At 43.5% G+C, this 19,301-nt stretch overlaps 1 protein-coding gene across 5 annotated transcripts in view, besides 5 other annotated features; it reads left to right on the forward strand.

The window, feature by feature from the left end:
- Nucleotides 1,365-1,866: an enhancer, noted in NCBI's record as "H3K27ac hESC enhancer chr14:76451759-76452260 (GRCh37/hg19 assembly coordinates)". NCBI's record gives its function as "activates a minimal SCP1, AML or CMV promoter by ChIP-STARR-seq in primed H9 embryonic stem cells {active_cell/tissue: H9 hESC(primed)}" and the evidence as "EXISTENCE:reporter gene assay evidence [ECO:0000049][PMID:30033119]".
- Nucleotides 1,365-2,002: a biological region, named in NCBI's record as "H3K27ac hESC enhancer GRCh37_chr14:76451759-76452260".
- Nucleotides 1,693-2,002: a silencer, noted in NCBI's record as "silent region_5955". NCBI's record gives its function as "represses an Ori minimal core promoter by ATAC-STARR-seq in GM12878 lymphoblastoid cells {active_cell/tissue: GM12878}" and the evidence as "EXISTENCE:reporter gene assay evidence [ECO:0000049][PMID:35858748]".
- Nucleotides 1,712-19,301, forward strand: part of IFT43 (intraflagellar transport 43) — a 98,311-nt gene continuing 80,721 nt past the window's right edge. For all 5 annotated transcript variants that reach the window (NR_045665.2, NR_045664.2, NM_001102564.3 and 2 more), the window contains exons 1-2: nt 1,712-1,789; nt 4,834-4,926. Coding sequence is in view for 3 of the 5 variants with exons in the window: in NM_001102564.3 (NP_001096034.1) it covers nt 1,736-1,789; nt 4,834-4,926 (147 nt within the window). In the remaining 2 variants the exon portion in view is untranslated. The remainder of the gene's footprint in view (nt 1,790-4,833; nt 4,927-19,301) is intronic.
- Nucleotides 9,244-13,226: an enhancer, noted in NCBI's record as "VISTA enhancer hs2157". NCBI's record gives its function as "enhancer in: heart[8/10]" and the evidence as "EXISTENCE:transgenic organism evidence [ECO:0001131][PMID:17130149]".
- Nucleotides 9,723-9,822: an enhancer, noted in NCBI's record as "active region_8765". NCBI's record gives its function as "activates an Ori minimal core promoter by ATAC-STARR-seq in GM12878 lymphoblastoid cells {active_cell/tissue: GM12878}" and the evidence as "EXISTENCE:reporter gene assay evidence [ECO:0000049][PMID:35858748]".

The following is a 19,301-nucleotide window of genomic DNA, read 5'->3' on the forward strand; positions in this document are numbered from 1 at the left end:
CAGACAGTTGCAAGATAGGAAGGAAAATTATTAAAGTTATACTTTTTTGGACTCCACCTCTACCAAATCAGTCTCCAGAGCTGAGGCCCTGGCATCTCTGTTTCTTTACAAACCTCACACGTGATTCAGGTGCTAAGCAAGTTCTGGAAGCTACTACTGCAGGGTACCTCTCTGCCCAGAGTGAGGACCATTTGCCTTCTGTTTTCAGCAAGTTGGGGAAGAAGTGGGGGTGAAGGTCTGGAAACTGACTATAAGGTGATGGTCGTATGCTGTGAGCTTACAAGAAATGGAAAAATCCAAAGATTAATCCCTTCTTCCTCATCTGGTGCCGAAGAAGAAGGGAACAAGGGATTCATTGGAGCCTATATTTCATCTGTCTTGGATTTTTGGCAATGAGTGTTTCTTCAGATTAAAATCTAACAAAGTATTCTCACTGAGAAGCAAGTTAACAAAGGATCTTAGAGATAATCTCTAAAGTAATTACAAGGGAGGAAACTGATAGCGGAAAGGGCTCTGCTCTGACTACACAGGTAGTTTTCAGGAGAGCTAAGATGAGAACACAGCTCTTCTGATATCCAGGCCAGTGCTCTTGCTGTCACAGGCATGCTAACACACAGTCCTATCCAGTAACATGTGTGACTGAACTGAGTGATTTACTGGATATTTAAGAAATGCTTGCAATGAGGTTTCAGGGGTGCTACTCCCACTTCCGAATCCTTGCTTTTAACCTGTGTCCATCCAGGCCTTCCCCTCAACATAATACTGGAATGTTGTTTGCTTTCAGGGCTATCAGCCCATCTCCTATGGATCTCAGCCAACCAGTGTCAGGGACCTGGCCAGTGATATTGACTTGGAGATCTCATATGAAGAGTCAACAAAGACGCAACTTAAATGCCCCATTAGGCTGGGAATTTGTGGTACATCTCCCTCTGCCAGCCTAGGAGAATGGCTGGCACCCAGTAGTATGTGCTGGAGATAAATACTCCAGTAATGTCTGGTGTCAGAAGGGCATTTGGCTCTGCTGCTTGGCACTTAGGTGATTTTCCTCAAGCCCCTTCTTTGTACCTCAGTGTGCTTTATTGTTGTGTTAGAGATACTACTGCTACTCACTTTGCGGGATTATTGGGATTTAATGAGATATTGAATATTTGTACTTTTGAAAGTTATTACTACTCAGCTATTTGATGTGTTGATTCAGCCTCTCTGTAAACTTCTTGAAGGCAGAGATTATGTATATTGCAGTTTCCATAATTCATGGTAAACCATTTATTACACCTGATTCCCTGTTTTCTCATCTGTCAAATGGAAACAATACCACTTATCTTGCTTCCCACACAAGGTTGTTAATGCCCCTCACGTTAAGCCAATAACTGTGACGGCCTTCTGTACCTTGCAAAGAGCTGTACAAGTGGGAGGCATCAGTATAGCAGTAGTAGTGCTTTGCACTTAATATATTGATATATTTAAACAGAGCTACAAATACAGACAGTTCCTAACGACCAAATTATTTTACCGTCTCGCAGGAGCAGCGTTGGCGAGTTTTAATAACCGGAGGTTGCTTCCAGATGTCAAGCAAGGCAGATTTAAGAAAGATTCGGTAGTTTGGAGGATGGCACACAGAATCCAGGAACCATGCTGCGTACCCTTTAAAAATTGGGGTGGAGGGGCGGGGCTGTTAGCAGGGACGCGTCTGGGCCAGTCGGTTTCCAGGAAGTGACGTCAGGCGGCCGCGGAGATGGAGGATTTGCTCGACTTGGACGAGGAGCTTCGCTACAGCTTGGCTACCTCCGTGAGGACCAATTCGGGGGCCTTGGGGGCCAGGATTTGGCGGGTGGGGAGGAGCGACCCCGCCGGCCCCGACTTCTCTGAGGCGACTCAGGGCGGCAGGCCTCGCGCCGCGCCGGGTGAGGCCCAGAAGGAGGCAGCCTCACCGCCCCGCCCCCAGGCCACTGTGGGCTCCGCCGCTGCTGGCCTGGGGTTTGCTTTCTTTAAAATCCTCAGAAAGTAGAAAACACCCTGTCCCCGCCGGCGTCTAGGACCGTGGGAAATTTCCGAGCCTTTCTCCGTTTTCTAGAGCCCCGAGTGCGAACTTCCCCAGAACAGATCGATCACAGGGTGATAGGGGAGCCCCGGCCGGGGTCGCACTCGCTCCCATCCTAGAGTTTTTCCTTTGGGACACCTCGTCGCAGAAGTTCCTGCAAAAGCCGCACTGTTTTATGCATGGAAGGGAGGCAGGCAGGGACGGCCTTTCTTCCCGGTAATCCCCGTGGGGAGGTGGGAGTTAACCTCAGTTACCTCAGTAGTTAAGGAAACCAAGACCGATTTGTAACGTGAGGGAGTGATTAGGTGCTCAGGCACTGAGGCCAGATGGAGCATAGAGCTGTTGCCTGGGTTCAAAAAAAAAAAAAAAACCTAAAAAACGATTTAACCTTTCCGAGCCTTGGTTTCCTTATGCCTAGAATGGAGGTGTTACAGTGAAAAGGAAATGCAACAATACATGGGAAGCGTGTAACTCAGTGCTTGGCATATGTTATCACGGAAGAGGTCAGAAGAGGTTAGCTACTGCTGCCTATGAGGCTGTGGTTTACCCAGCGTTATAGTTAGTAAATAATGGAGCTAGATTCAAGACCCAAGTTCAGTGTCTACCTTCCTCCTTTGTAACCCCCATCAGGCCTTTTTATCTTTAAAACTGGTTAGGATCGCACTTACTAAAAGATTGGGCCCCAGAGCAAGTCTTTAGTGTCTGCTGTGAAATCTCTAAGTGTTTTGAAGGTCACCAGGCCTGCTGATACGTGAATGTTTTTTAGTACCTGGGGATGTGAATGTAGTTATTCATTCATTCAACAAATATTTATTGAGCCCCTACTGTGTATCAGGCAGTGTCCTAGGTGCTGGAGATACAGCAATGAATAAAGCAAAGTTCCTGCCCTCATGTGATTATGTTGTAGTGGGAGAAGATGGGCAATAAATAGACTACATTTAACATACACAAAAATCAGGCAGTAAAGAAGTTTTTCTACCCTATGGATCTATACAGGGTCTTCAAAAAGTTTAAAACCTTGAAATACTTAAAAATTATTAGAGAAAACACCTGTGAACAGCATTTAGCGACAAGATCATTGAATTTTTGTTTTAGCACAACCGCCATATGTAGGATGCTGTATTCAGATACTCAGTGCTGTGACAAATGGAAAAGGGCAACCATGGTGAAGGGATGGAATTGTCTGACTTGAGAAGAAAATAAGCTGCTTATTATCAGAAAGATTGTTTCCACCATCCCTGAAACCTAAATGACACTACAATTTGAAGTGTCGACATTGCATAAGAGTTTTTACGAGCTCTTCTGTAACCCCTCTCAGTTTAGTGGGGCAGTCAGTCCTTAGAACATCTTAAAACAAGTTTCAGCAGGGTAGAGTGGAAAGCACCCAGGAAACCCAGGATCTGAAATCAGAAGGCTTTGCTCCTAGGTTTATGTCAGCCACTTCATCACCTTCCTAGGCCTCAGTTTCCTCCTTTGTAAAATGACAGCAGTCTCAGTTTCTGTCCATTATTGTGAGAATCAAAGGAAGCCACATTAAATGAGATCTAAAAGTGCTTATATTAATGCTGTTTTTTTTAAACAAAGTAAGCAAAAGTATAAATATTTCAGCACCCAAGAGTCTGACTAAATAAAGTTTTGTTTATGTGCTGGGAAGCCTTAGAGGCAGAGTCTCCACCGGAGGGCCTTGGGAAACACCTGCAAATGATTCATTTGATGGCCAAGAATTTTGAAGTGCTCTGATTTCCAAAGATAATGTCTCAAAATTCTTGTACTAGATTTCCCTTAATGTCTGTAAAGGCAAACCCAGTTACTGTACATATCAGAGCAAATGCTGTTTTCCATTTACCATGGAATTTAGGAATTCTTTCCAAAAGCCTGTTTGATAATGATTTTCATGCCAAGCTGCAGATTTGAAATTAAGCCTTCCTAAAATCCTGCGTAGGAACATGGGAGCATTTACCACCTTCTTCTCTGACCTGTGGCATGAGGTATCTGCCCATTCTAGAGGAATTTGTAACTGCATTTCTTTGGGTAGAAAATAGAATTTTCTTTTGCCATCTCTATAGCTGTTGAAAGAAAACCTTGTCCAGCCTGGGCAGCACAGGGGGACCCCATATCTACAAAAAAATAAAATAAAGTATCCAGATATGGTGGTGTGTACCTGTGGTCCCAGCTACTCAGGAGGGCAAGGTAGGAGGATCACTTGAGCCTAGGGGGTGGAGGCTGCGGTGAGCACTCCAGCCTGGGCAACAGAGTGAGAACCTGTCTTAATTTCCTATTTTCCTATCAAATAGAACTGACCTCAGGTGCTTTGTTTTAAGGGGTTTTAGAGGGTTTTCTAAAAACATGTCCAAGTAACTCAAATCCCGTTCTCCACCACATCATCATAAATCCAGTCCTTGCTTACCTTCCCAGGCTTGTCATCTTTTTTTTTGTTTTGTTTTGAGATGGAGTCTTGCTCTGTCACCCAGGCTGGAGTGCAGTGGCACAATTTCGGCTCACTGCAACCTCCGCCTCCCAGGTTCAAGCGATTCTCCCGCCTCAGCCTCCCAAATAGCTGGGACTACAGGCGCCCGCCACAACGCCAGGCTAATCTTTTGTGTTTTTAGTAGAGACGGGGTTTCACCGTGTTAGCCAGGATGGTCTGGATCTCCTGACCTTGTGATCTGCCTGCCTCGTCCTCCCAAAGTGCTGGGATTGCAGCTGTGAGCCACTGCGCCCGGCTGGATTGTCATCTCAGTAGTGGCCCAAATGACATTTGGGTCAGCAGTGCCTTCTGTTTCTCCTTACAGAGGGCCAAGATGGGTCGCCGAGCTCAACAGGAGTCAGCGCAGGCCGAGAATCACCTCAATGGCAAGAATTCCTCTTTGACTCTGACTGGAGAGGTGGGTGCTAAAAAAAAAGAAAATCTGAAGAAATACTGTTTAAGAGTTAGTGATTCCTTAATGACCAAGGATTTGGTATTCCATATTTCTTCTCTTGAATGCCAACCCTTTCTCCTGTCTTGATTTGGGAATTCCCTTCCTTGGCATTTGTCCTTGTAGCAGGAAATGGAAGAACTTTTTTTCCTTGATGCCAGACTAGTTTCTGTGCATTTCCTTATATTCTTAATGTAGAACTTTTTATGTTAGCTGAAGCAAGGGACTGGGAAGTTTCAAAATCCAGTAGGATTCCAGGTTTTTATTTCCGCTGAATAAATGCCAGTGAGGCAGACTGGTGACGTAAGGTTGGATTACACAATTGGACATTGCTCTCGGTGGTGACCTGCGCTTTCTACAGTCTTCCGGCAGGAAGCAGATCATTTACTGGCCTTACTTTCCTGGAAACTTTTCCGAGTAGCCTGGAATTATGGGAAATGATCCAGCTTCTTTGTGGAGGGTGGGTAATTCTGATGAGCAATACTTTTTACTGCCAGGGCACTACTTTTGGCAGCTTACTCAGAGCCCCTTTTTACCTTCCTCTGTCCATTTGAAAAAACTTTGCAAAAGTCAGCCTCAGGGTCATCCTCTGCCAGAAGTTAGCTCTTCTCTAACCTCTCCAGGCTGACTTAGCAGTCCTTCCTTTCACTTCCCATAGTACCTATTGTGAACATATGCCATTATATGTGAATTGTCTTTTTACATGTCTGTCTCCCCCACCGGACAGTGAGTTCCCAGACAGCAGGAAACCTGGCTTCTAGCTTGCTGGCCCATAGTAGGTTTGCAACAGATGAAGAGACCCATGCTGAGAAGCCTAATGGGTCAGGCAGGTGCATGAGCAAATGAACCGGGTACCTGACATGGACACACTTCACTTACATATCACATAGGTAGGAATATTCTTCATTTTCGTAGGAAATGCATTCTCCACCACTTTCTTAAGCTCTCCACATGGCCTTGTCCATTTATCTTTCATTTTCTCCTTTTAGAAGTGTGGGTATGGAGAATCATTACTTTAAGATAACATCTGTGCTGGCCTAGAAAAACTAGCAGCTGACCCCTTGGCATCACTGCCTGGAAGAAACTAGGGGAGTGAGTTAGGGCAGGGGGACTGGGAACTGGAGGCCACATGCCCCCTCTAAAGGGACAACCACTACTTAGCCAAAGCTGGTTGGTGCTGTCGAGAATACAGGCCCAGTATTGCCAGATATGATTCTTCAAGAGATGCTGGCAGTCTAAAATTTTATGTGAAAGCAACACATTTTTAGAGGTTAGCACCTGATTAAGAAAACCTAATCACCATATGGACTGGATATTAAATCATCATATGGGCTGGATTTGGTCCAAGGATTGTCAGTTTGTAACTGCGGCCATGGCACCTCCATTGTGATACTTATTACATTGTATTCTAATTGTTTACATATCTGGTTCTCTCATAAGATATGAGCATCTGGAAGGCAGAGGTTGTGTCTTATCATCGTACCCTATTATCTGTCACAGTGCCTGGCAGAATAGGCCTGCAATTGTTATTGCGCAGGATGAGGTGGGGTCAAGTACATAGTGTGTGATGTACTTACACATTAGAAGCTATGTAGAAGTGTTATGGGGCCTGGGGCAGGGAGGTTGGGAGGCGAGGATAGTGGAGCATTGGAGGCACAGTTAGGAGAGGTGATATAAAGTAGGAATTTGGTGAAAGAAGATATACCAGACCCAACCCTGGATCTCAGGGAGCTTGAACTGCAGTGGTGTATGTATTTAAAGAGAAAACGCGGAAGCAAATGACTGAGCTGATGGAAGCCAATTCTTGGCCTCTGGCACTTTACACTGTTCCACATGGGTCCAGGAGGATTAATTCCAACACCAGATCATTCATTCATTTACTCAACAACTATTTATTGAAGCACACAGTAAGTGCCAGGCACCATTTTGCAGGGTTGGCATATTTCAGTGAACAAAAGAGACAAGATCTCTTGCCATAATGGAAGTTACATTCTCGTGATCACTGGCACCCAGGAAGAATAATTAAAAGTCTACTTAAGGCTAGGCACAGTGGCTGATGCTTGTAACCCCTGTAACCCCAGCACTTTGGGAAGCCAAGGCAGGAGGATTGTTTGAACGTAGGAGTTCACGACCAGCCTGGGCAACCTTGTCTTTGCAAAATATTTAAAAATTAGCTGGGTTTGGGTGGCATGTGCCTATAGTCCCAGCTACTTGGGAGGCTGAGGCAGGAAAATTGCTTGAACCCGGGAGGCGGAGGTTGCAGTGAGCTGAGATCTTGCCATTGCACTCCAGCCTGGGCAACAAGAGTGATATATACATAAATATATAATTAACAATAAGAGTATATATTATATATATATATATAAATATTAACAAGAGTGTGTGTGTGTGTGTGTGTGTGTGTGTGTGTGTGTGTATGTATGTATATATATTTTAAAGTCTACTTAATTGTGAAGGAGGTTATAGCCACCTATGGTAGTTAGGTGAATGAGCCTGTGATGACCTCATTAGGCCTTGAAGCCTTATATGACCCCCATACCAAATCAGCTCCTAGGCTGGGGTCAGTGGGCCCTGCTTGCCTACCATCCACTTCCCTTGGCTCCCATGTGAGAATCATTGCTGTGAGAATATAACTCCATAGTCACAGAGTGTGATGAATCCTTTCAGGGTTTCAGCCATTCAGTAATACCTACTTATTTCGAGGTTTACCTTTTTTTAACTCTGTGCATTACCATTTTTGTGGGAGAACATGATGAAAAGTCATTCTGCTCTTCACCCAACTGTTGCCTCTGAAAGCAAGATGCCAGTTAGGATTCCAGGATCCCTTTCTCCCTGGGCTAATTGAGGTTTAAACAGTGTGGGCAGCCTCCCACGGGGCCAGATGCTCACTGTGCTGTGTGGGACTTTTTGGCTGTTTCTTTCTAAAATTAGATCCCAAGACTTGTGTGTGTGCCCATTTACATTCCGATTCTATTACTTGATATATTTATTTTTGTCCTCTTGCTGACTGTATTCTAGGATGAAGATATCCATGCAAACGTAAATATGGTACCTGGGAGCTGTCAGACATGCTGGAGTTACTTTAGACTTAAGTGGAAATTAGTTCAAACACATGGTTATTTTAAAGCGAGGTAGTGGAGTTGGGAGCTCTGGTGAAGGAAGCAGAAAGAACACAGGGCTTCGCACCAGAGGACTGGGTGCTAATTGCCTGGATTGTGATTAAGTCCACCAATCTCTCTAATTCTCCATTTCATTATCTGTCAAATAGTGATAGTAATACCACCAGGTTGATATGGGGGCAAGTGAGATACGCATTGAGACGCTTTTTAATAAACTGAAAAGCACTGTGCAAGCATTCATTCAATAAATTAGTGAATAAAGGCATATTGGGACAGCACTTTGCTGCTTTTATTAAAGGGCACCGAAGAAAGAGCATGCCAGCCAGAGTCTCTTAGAACTGATTTGGAAATCTGTTCACAGGCTACTACTCATTTATCCATAGGTTGGCTAGTAGGTATCCAGAGCAGAGGGTTTTTTTGTTTGTTTTTGTTTTGAGGCAGGGTCTTGCTCTGTCTCCCAGGCTGGAATGCAGTGGCATGATAATGGCTCACTGCAGCCTTGAACTCCCGGGCTCAAGCGATCCTCCAGTCACAGTCTCCTGGGTAGCTGGGACCACAGGCATGCACCACCACACCTGACTGATTTTTTTTTGTAGAGACGAAGACTTGTTATGTTGCCCAGGCTGGTCTCAAACTCCTGGCCTCAATCGATCCTCCTGCCTTGGCTTCCCAAAGTGCTGGGATTACAGGTGTGAGCCACCACACCCAACCTGGAGAAAAGTTTTTTTGCTTTCTAGTTGCAGCAGGCGTTTCTTAAGAGTCTGTAAAAGCACAGGCCTAGGAGTCATACCAGTCTGGGCTGAAATCCTGGCCCTGTCATACATTAGCTTCTGTGATACTGAGTTAATCTTGCTAAGCCTCATTTTCCTATTATTCCTGTTTTGGTGAAACAGGGATAATAATATTCCATACTTCATAGGATAGCTGGAAAGACAAAGTGATATAACCCTTAACTTAGTCTGACACACACATGCTCAGTATGTTGCCAACCATTATTATTTCTCTAGAACTTGGGCATTCTTTTTATTCCACCTTAACCTCTACTGAGGTTGAAAACTGGTGGCCTTCAGGCTGAATTTGGCCTATAGTCATGTTTTATGTGATCCATACAGGGTTAAGAATTTTTAAATTTGGTTCGCATTTATAAATCAGGAAATGTAATATGGAAATTCAGATTTGGGGCTTCTCTTTAAAATCAGAAGCCCTGGCACAGTGAGAATGCTGGGTTGACATTCCCACATGGCGGCAATTGGCTGGTGCTGCAGCTGCTGATAGCTTACATGCATCCATCCCTCTCCAGTTAACTGCTTAGTACTTTGATACACCTGGTCAGATTTACTCACATTTGATCTGCCTGGTTCCCATTTCCGTCTGAATTGAAAACTCCTGTCTTTTAGGATAGATTAATTTTTCAAGTGGCCTCCTCTATCTATCAGTATTGAATCTGGTTGCCTACAACAGAAACAACTTCAGTACTTGAATCAAACAGGAGCAATTTTTCTTTCACATAGCAAAGAGTCCAGTGGAGGGCAGAGCAGAGTGGGTGCAGTCACTGGAGCATGTCCTGCATTACTCTAGCTCCTTCCAGCTTCCTGCTCTGCTATCTGGAGCCTGTGACTTTTGTTCTCATGGTTGCAAGATGGCTGGTCATTCTCCTGGGATCAGATATGCATTCTAGGTGGGAAGAGAGGGAATTGTTGAAGAGTTCAAGGTGCATGCCAGTAAGAAGGGTGTACCCCTTCTTATCAGGAAAACAGTAGCCAGAGTCCTCACTAAGGAGAGCTCTAGTTTCATTTCATTGGTCAGAACTGGATCTTACAGCCACACTCTCAGTTTCAGGGGAGTTTTTAATGGGCACATTACCACACCATAGCATCGGGGTTTCTTGGTAAGGGAGGTGAGTAGAATGGCTCTTGAGTAGGCAGTTCAAAAATGACATGTCAATTTAAAACAAATAGAAATTATAGAAAGCCCTTTTTTTTTTTTGTAGCCCTGGGTATGAAGAGAAAATTATTTTAGCTTAAAAAAAATGTACATTCTTCTCCAGTTTTTGTTTTGGAGTTGAGTGAAAAAAAATTGTATGCCCTAAGTTCCAGGATATCTGATTCAGTGGCCTCTTCTTGATCTTTTCCTTCTGATTGTCTCCATACCCACTTAGGACGTGGTGCCAGTAGGATGCCTGTGGTTTGGTCCAGGTAATTAAACTCTTCTTCCTGCTCTGAGAGAAGAGGAAAAGTCTCTTTATTTGCTTGGTCATTCGATACATTTCAAATCACTTAACTGTCTAATTTTAAAATTTACCAGAAAGATGAACTCTTTGTGTGATTTTACTAGTTTGGAGTAGATTGGAGTTGTGTCTACTTTTTTAGGGTTGTTGTGAAGATCAAATGAGGTAATGCATGTAAAGTACTTAGCACGGTATCCGGCACACAGAAACCCAAGGAGAAATGATAAGTACTAAGAAAGCTTATGACTACATTTTTTGGGTGGGGTGGGGTGCACCTGTTGCAAATCAGGCTTGGATCACTAGAAGCATGGTTCAGCTAGCAGTTCAGGTTGGAATTATAGGTATTGAGGATTTTGCTGGAAGATAGTTCTATGATGAGTGTCTACATGTCTGTGATGTATAGCTTTCTCTAGGGAGGATGGGTCTGAGAGTTAAACCAGATTTCTCTGCTTGAGCCTTGACCTTCTATTGATTCAAATGATTGTGCCCTCACAGAACTCTTTTAAGGACAGACCCAGATGCTTTCTACCGAAAAGTTACCTTCTACTGAGTTTGGGCAAAAGTAATCTTTGGCAAAACCTCTCCAGGGCTAGCTCATCTTTTGGATGAGCATTTCTTGCTGGGATCTAGACCTGTTTTTGGCTTAGCTTTTATTTTGCAGATTGTCCTTTTAATAATCATCATCATAGCTTACATTGCAACAGTTGCTAGCTATCTGTTCATTACATGCAGTGTCCTAGTTGAGCCTTATGGTAGCTCTTGAAGTAGGTACTCTTATCATCATGTTGTACATGTGAGGACATGGAGACTTTAAGAGTCTGGGTAACTTGTCAGAAGCATTCAGCTAATCTGTGACTCTAGTTGAGTCTTTCTGACTCAAGTGCCTAACCTCTCCTACCTGCTAGATGGGAAGAAGCACAGACCTCCCAGTAGAGAAGAGGATTTTGGAAAGGGCGGAGAGACTTAGGGTCATTCCCTTGGGGTCCTTTTGGAATGGGAGTAAGTTCTCACTTGATCACCCTTATTCGTTCAGTGGTCTAGAGAAGTGTTGGAGTCACAGCTGTTCCCTTTCTCTCCCCCTATTCCCTTGGTGTTCCTCCGAGGACGCAGAACTGAAAGTTAGCCAGATTCCCTCGCAGGAATCTGAGAAATGCTGCTGGGCTCATGTTCCCAAATTAGGCCAATTTCCTCATCCCCCAGCAGCCTCACTCGGCCGGAGCTCCCTTGGCACTTTGCATTACGTCTCTCGCCCTCCGCCTGTCCCCTTACTGGTCTGCCAGCCAGGCAGTTATTTTCAGCCCAATAGGGTTATCTGCTGACCCTTTTTGGTGACATTTTTCTTCTTTCTCACAAAAATAACTCTCCTGATTGGTCACATTTTCCAGCGTTTTTCATAGCCGCTCTCCAATCGGCTGGGTTGAATGATGCTTCTGATAACGTTGCCAAAGAGGGATGCAGGGAATTTGATATGGAGTTGTTCATAAGGAATGTGTTTTCCACACTTCATATTTATGTCATGCTTGGCATGCTTTGGTTTTGAACTCTCCCTTGGAGTGTGCAGATGTGCATCGCTGACCCATCCCTGGGGCCGGCCGCTGTGTGGGAGGGAATGTCATCTCAGGGTAGAGCCTGCAATTGGAAATCAACATCTTGAGATTCTCCGCCAGCACTGGCTCTGGCTTTGTCAAATGCTCTTGAAGTGCCCCAGGAAAACATGCTTTCTTGCTGGCTTCTGTGAGACCCAGAGTGCAAGTTGGTGCTCAAAGAGCACTTTAAGATTCTCCTCCTCGCCTATGGGGAGGGTTAAGTGAGAAATATGTGTCAAGAGCTTAGCCCAGTGCACTGTGAGTCCTCTCTTGTGATTTTCTATGTAATCTGAGAAGTAGAAAAGATGATCGTTTTGTCTTTAATCCCAGCTCTGCCAGTTGCTAGGTGTGTATCCCGGGTGTGTTACTTAACTACTGTAAGCCAGTTTCCTCATCTGTTGAATGGAGATGATAGTAGTATCTATCTCATTGGGTTGTTGGAGGGTTAAATAAAATATATAAAGCTCTTAGAGCAGTGCCCAACACCTGCTAACTATTATTGTCCTTATCTGTATCAAACGAGAATTAGAATGTATTATCAATTTATCCTAAATATCAGTTCTGTCCAAGATACAGAGATATTCATATTTCATAGACTAACAACTGGCCCTTATGGCAAAGAAACATTTGGGTGAGGAATCCTTTCAGTAAGAATTCTTTGTGCCACTTGAGACCCATTTTATTTGTCTCTTGTAGTAGCATTTCTGCCTATGCCATTGGCCAGTTGTTTGCCAACACCTTTCTGTCAACAAAATGCAACTCTCTGTCTGAAGGTCGACAGTCTTTCCAAAGAATAATCCTTAATTGCTGACTTATATCATTTTGTTGTTCTGGGGGCAGATGAGTAGAAAATGAAGAGGGCAGGAGTGACCTTGGTGACCTCAGTTACCTTGGAAAAAAGGAAATATTCATTCATTTATGAAACTTGATTGGGAGCTTTCTGTGTGCCAGGTATTGTGCTTTGAACTTGGAATACAATAATTAACCAGACATGCTCCCTGCCTTCTAGAACTTTGATTTAGGGGCTTGCAGAGAAGTGTCAGGTAGAGGTGATTACAGAAGATATGAGAGTAAACACGTTGAGCCCATTTTATTCTCAGGGATATCCAAAAAGGTGGTCCAGGAAGAAATCAGGTTTGAGCTGAGAGACTTGAAGGATGAGTAGAAATTAGCCAAGAGAAGAGGGGGAAGAATATTCCAGGTAGAGGGAAGAGTGTGAGCCAAGTTCTGGAGACAAGAGAGAGAGCATGGCATGGTGGATTTGTTAATGGAGCAGTTGACCATACAGGTGATAGAGGGGTGGTCGTAAGTGACTTTGTATTTGAAACCAGCCCCTTTGGCCTTCCTTGATAAATGGACCAAGTGTTTGAAAACCAGCCCCTTTGCCTTTTCACAAATGACCTATATGAGGTCAACATTTCTAATATGACACTGAAATAATTGGTAATGTTATGAGAACTAAACAGTGAGCTTTCAGTATTTTTAGCCTTGTCTTTTATTGCTGCATCTTCAGTGCAACCACTGTACCTTCCTCTGTGCATTTGTGTTTGCTGGTCAAGAAAAATCTCCGAGGTATGCTCAAGGATTTCAGATTCTATTGCAATGTTGGAATTTGGTTTGACTCCTTTTTGGAGTAAATAGACCACTGGCTGTGTTCAGAAATCTTTTTTTGGTATGTGAAACTTTTCATGGGAATGATACCTTTGTTGTAATGAGAAGTGACTTCTATTTAGGCAAAGTGACCAGAGCAGAGACTTGTCAGGATCTAGGCTGTGAATAGAATTCTATTAGAAAATAAAAGTGTTTGTTTGGGGGTGGGGGTTGGGGGGAAATTAGAGAAATGATTTGAGCTACTATCATCCCACCTGGGCTTCAGTAGTTGCCTCATAACTGGTCCCTCCTCTTATATTCCCACTGTCCTGCAGTTTAGCTAGAGTGGTCTTGTAAAAATGTGTATCAGTCATTTCACGGTCAAACCCTTTAATGGATACTCGTTGCACTTAAGATAAAAAAACAAAACAAAACAAAACAAAACCCAAATCCTTAACTTAGTCCTGTGTCATCTGGGTCTTCTCTGCATGGCCAGCCTCATTTCACACCTGTCAGCTATTGTAGTTGATTTAAGTGCGGTCCCTTTATTATATGCACTCGTTTCTTTTTTCACATTTTCCTTATCACTTCAATCACAGTTTGTAATCATATGTTTGTGTCCTTATTTAGTTTCATCTCTCTGACCAATTGCAAGCTGCAGAAATGGCTCTTCTCCTCCCTGGAGACTGGCACTTTGTAGGTCCTCAGTAAGTGTTGGTTAAATGAATCCTCAGGTGTGAGGAGTGGGGGATGATGTATTCAACCTGCAGGAAATGCCCAAGAGGCTTTGATGCATGGGACTTGTGTATACCAGGCTGTGGGCTGGAGCTGGAGATTTGGAAGTTCTTAGCATTGAGGTGCTAAATGGAAGCCCAACACTCTAAGAGAGGGTTTTAGAGTAAGAGGAGAGGGCTTCTGACGGAAGTGGACGAACAGACAGAAGCTGAGGACCACTTGTGTTTAGGAAACACATAGCCAAAAAATAGCTTGCCAAAAGAAATTGAGGAGTGGTGGCCAGAGAGGAGAGGAGAAACCAAGCACCTATGGTGTCCAGAAGCCAAGATAAGTGAGAGTGTCATGATGGACTGAGGGGTCAGCAGTGTTTGATGCTGCCAAGAGGGTCCAGGAAGGGAAGGCCTGAGCAGGTCCTATTGGATTTAGCAGCAGGGGTCCCTGCAATTTCAGGGAGCAGTCAGAGAGGGGGCCATGTGTGCCTGGCACAGTACACACTGAGTGAGGTCTCAGTAAATCCTTGTTGAAAGAATTCAGTGACTAGGCTATGACATGTACTCTGGGGCTCAAGCAATCCTCCCCCTCGGCCTGCCGAGTAACTGGAACTATAGGCATGCACCACCACGCCAAGCTAATTTATTTTTATTTTTTGTAGAGACAAGGTCATGCTGTGTTGCTCGGGATGACCTTGAACTCCTGGCTTCAGGCAGTCCTCCCACCTTGGCCTCCCAAAGCTCTAGGATTATAGGCGTGAGCCACTATGCCTAGTTCCGACATCTCTTTATTTTTTTCTCTCTCTTATTGAGCTTCCTCTGTTTTATCTCTACTATTTCTCTTTTTCCTGCATCTCTTTTTGTCCTCTTAACCAGTGATAACAAAGAACTCCAACCCCCATACTCCATTTTGCTTTGCCCATTCATTCATTTATATATATATAATATTCATTTATATATAAATTCATTTTATATATATATATATATATATATATATATATATATATATATATATGTATATATATTTTTTTTTTTTTTTTTTTAATTTTTTGTAGAGACACAATCTCACTGTGTTGCCCAGGCCGGTCTCAAACTCCCGGCCTTAAGTGATCCTCCTACCTCGGGCTCCCAAAGTGTTGGGATTACAGGCATGAGCCATCACACCTGGCACATTTATATATATTTTTATATACATATTTATAAGTAGAATTTTATTCATTCATTTACTTATTTATCCTACATTTAATATACACTTTCTGATACAAAATGAACAAGAAAACTTCATATTCTAAGTGGGGAACCACACACCTATACCAAAAATTATAATTCTGAAGTACTATCTGAGTTCAGGAACCCAGAAGGATCACCTCACCCTGCCTAGGAGTTAGGGAAGGCTTTCTAAAAGAGGCAGCTCTTGAAGTGGGTTGACATGAATGAGTAGGAATTTGCTAATGAGCAAGGAGGGCAAAAAGCCATTTCTGGCGGCCTGCAAAGCCTGTTCTAAGGCATGCCATTGCACAGGGGCTGGGGGTTTTTAGGGCACGGTAAAACCATTTAATGTATTGGGAACATAGGCCTGGCATTCCAAGTGGAGAAATAAGAGTTTGTTTTCTATGTTGTAGGGAGCCCACAAAGATTTTAAAGCAAAGAATGACGTTACCAACTTTGTTTTCTAGAAAGATGAATCTGGCAGCTACACTGGAGGATAGAGTGGGAGAGCTTGTTGGCAGGGAGATCGCTGGGAGGCGGTTGGAGCAGTCCTTCTGAGAGGTGATGAAGGCATCAACCAAGGCAGCATTCCCAAACTTCAGGCGTTTCCCCATCATTTTAACAGTTTTACATTTTTACAGTTACAATACATACCACTCACATTATTAACTTTTCTCTTTAAATCAACTTTCCTTTTATACTTAAATGCATTTATTTTTAAAAAATGTTTTCAATGAAATGATCATTTGTGATATTTATATTTTTCTTAGTATACATAACATACATAACTGGCTTCTTTTTTTTTTTTTTTTTTTTGAGATATAGTCTTGCTCTGTTGCCCAAGCTGGAGTGCAGTGGCACAATCTCGGCTCACCACAAGCTCCGCCTTCTGGATTCACGCCATTCTCCTGCCTCAGCCTCCCGAGTAGCTAGGACTACAGGCGCCTGCCACCACGCCAGGCTAATTTTTTTTTTTTTTGTATTTTTAGTAGAGACGGGGTTTCACCGTGTTCGCCAGGATTGTCTCGATCTCCTGACCTCATGATCCTCCCGCCTCGGCCTCCCAAAGTGCTGGGATTACAGGCATGAGCCACTGCGTGTGGCCATAACTGGCTATTTTTAAAAAGGTTCATCTATTTACCTTTACCAGGCATCTCACCAGTGGCATATGTGCCTTACTTTGGGAAACAATAAACAAAAACCTGGCGGAGGGGTCTAAAGAGGAGAGGTCAGTGACAAGAGACCTGTTTGAGGGCAGGCAGATAGGATGTGGTAACAGATTGGCTGTTGGAAGTGGGAGAGAAGGAGAGTCTGGAGTTGAGCCCGCTTGTAGCTGAAAAGACTGAATGGATAATGACATTTTTGAGACTGAGAATTTAAGAGTCTTAGCAGTTGGTGAACAAGAAAGGATAATTATTTCAATTTGGGACATGCTGAATTTGAGTTGCCTTCAGGATTTTCAAAGAGGTCTGCCAAGTTGAAAATGTGGTATGGAGCTTAAGAGAGAAAGTTGGAAACTAGTGATAACAGATATGGGGGTCATCAGCATATATTCTAGGGTCTCTATGAAGAACCTATAGCATGAACTCCCGATTCCTTTTTTGACACATAGACCCTTCATGATCTCCAAGTGCAAACACATTTTCAGTAGAGAAGCAGTATGATTGGATTTGCATCTTAGAAAGAACACTTTGGCAACAACTGGACGGGGATGGATCCAGGTTTTATGAGTCCTGAAGCTTATGCAATTTGGCGGCCTTCTTTAAGAAAAACAATTCAAAATTATAGATTCAAAATCAGGTATAAAAGCAAATACTTATAATTGGAAAAAAAGTCATAGCTGAGTTACTGGAGTCTTTGATGTTCAGATGCCTTTCTTCAGAGACCTTGTTAGGCAATTTACCAGAAATACTTACATAGAAATGACTCCTGATTGGAACCTAGCTTCCCCTCGCTATCTAGAATTCTCTGTAACTTCCAGGGGCCCATGCAGGCATGCGATATAGATTTGAGGTAGGTGAGACTGGAAGCAGGGAGACCAGGTAGGACCCTGCTGAGGGAAGGCAGAGCATGAATTTGTTAGGCCTTAATTCGCATGGTTGTGCAAGTTTCTCCAACACCCCTGAGCAGGCTGGATCTTGACACAGTGGAAGCAGGTAGTTGGCTTGATCCAGGCTTTAGGGGGTGTCTTGGTCTGTTTTATGCTGCTCTAACAGAATGCCACAGAGTGAGTAATTTATGAACAAACAGACATTTATTTTCTCGCACTTCTAGAAGCTGGGAAGTCCAAGATCAATGTGCTGGCATCTGGTGAGGGCCTTTGTGCTGAGTAATCCCATGGCAGAAGGTGGAAGGGCAAGAGGGCATATGAGAGGGAGAGTCAAAAGGGGACTGAACTTATCCTTCTATAAGGGACCCACTCTAGTGATAATGGCATTAATCCATTCATGAGGGCAGAAGCTCTCATGGCTTAACCACCTCTTAAAAATCCCACATCTTGGCCGGACATGGTGGCTCATGCCTTTTATCCCAGCACTTTGGGAGGCCAAGATGGGCGGATCACCTGAGGTCAGGAGTTCAAGACCAGCCTGACCAACATGGTGAAACCCCATCTCTACTAAAAATACAAAATTAGCTGGGCGTGGTGGCGCAGGCCTGTAATCCCAGCTACTCAGGAGGCTGAGACAGGAGAATTGCTTGAACCCGGGAGGCAGAGGTTGCAGTGAGCCAAGATGGTGCCATTGCACTCCAGCTTGGGCAACAAGGGTGAAACTGTGTCTCAAAAAATAAAATAAATAATAATCTCACATCTTAATACTGTTACAATGGCAATTAAATTTCAACCCAAGTTTAGAGGGGACATTCCAACCATAGCAAGGGGAAGTGTGGTAAAAAGGTAAGGGGGGGGGTGGCATGATGTCATCGACCTTGGGAATGAGCTAGGTTGATAGGGAAAGAAGTGACACCAAGAAGGAAGTTGTTAGATGAGGAGGGAAGGAGGGGACTGGATATTTCAGAGATGGAGCAGTTCCAGTTATGACTGGAGTTTCAAAAAGTAGCAACAAGGCCATTGGCATTTAAAGGGTCTGGGAACCACAAGGCTAAACATTAGAACTGTTCATGTGAACACTAACTTGGCTTAGAATAATGAGAATAGTTGTGGAGAGGGAGCCAAATGCCCAAATTTTTGGTCAGTGTGTGCTCAGGGCATTGTTAGTGACAGGAATGAAGGAGAGAGGTGGTATAGCTGAATGGTACAAGTTTTGAAAGAAGTGTTTTCATAATAATTTGGAAGAATAATGGTCTAGAGGAACTTTGGGGAGTGAAACAGGAGTATTGTCTTGGGACTTGGGTTTGCAGGGTTTTAAAAAATGAGCAGACTCTACTTGAAAGAGCTGCGAGAGCAACGAAGTCCGTGGGGGAAGCCAGGATTTAGGAGAGGCAAGGAGATGTAGAGAGTGTGCTGTGAATATAGAATATCTAATCTGCTTAGAAACCGTAAGGTTGTGATCAGAAAGCTTCATTGAAATCATTAGCTAGGCTAGATTTCTTCTTATTATGTGACATGTCAATAATTACTGAAAAGGAGCAGAATGATAGTAAAATATTCTTTAAATAATGATACTTTACAGGAAAAGGGTACTGACTAATGTCGAATGTCATTGGTGATAGACTGAAACATTTCTGGTCACGTGCTTTTACCCAGTATAATAGAGAGTTATGTCACTGTGTTTAGCCGATTGCTTTTAAGTTCCATTTTAATTCCTCCATTGGCTTTTAGGTATTGTTTTTTATACTTTTTTTTTTAGTGATTACTCTAGGATTTAAAATATGCATCCTTATCACTGGTTACATAGAGTTAATATTATACCATGGCCGGGTTTGG

This window comes from Homo sapiens, chromosome 14 (genome assembly GCF_000001405.40).
Source record: "Homo sapiens chromosome 14, GRCh38.p14 Primary Assembly".
In the NCBI taxonomy this organism is placed as follows: domain Eukaryota; kingdom Metazoa; phylum Chordata; class Mammalia; order Primates; family Hominidae; genus Homo; species Homo sapiens.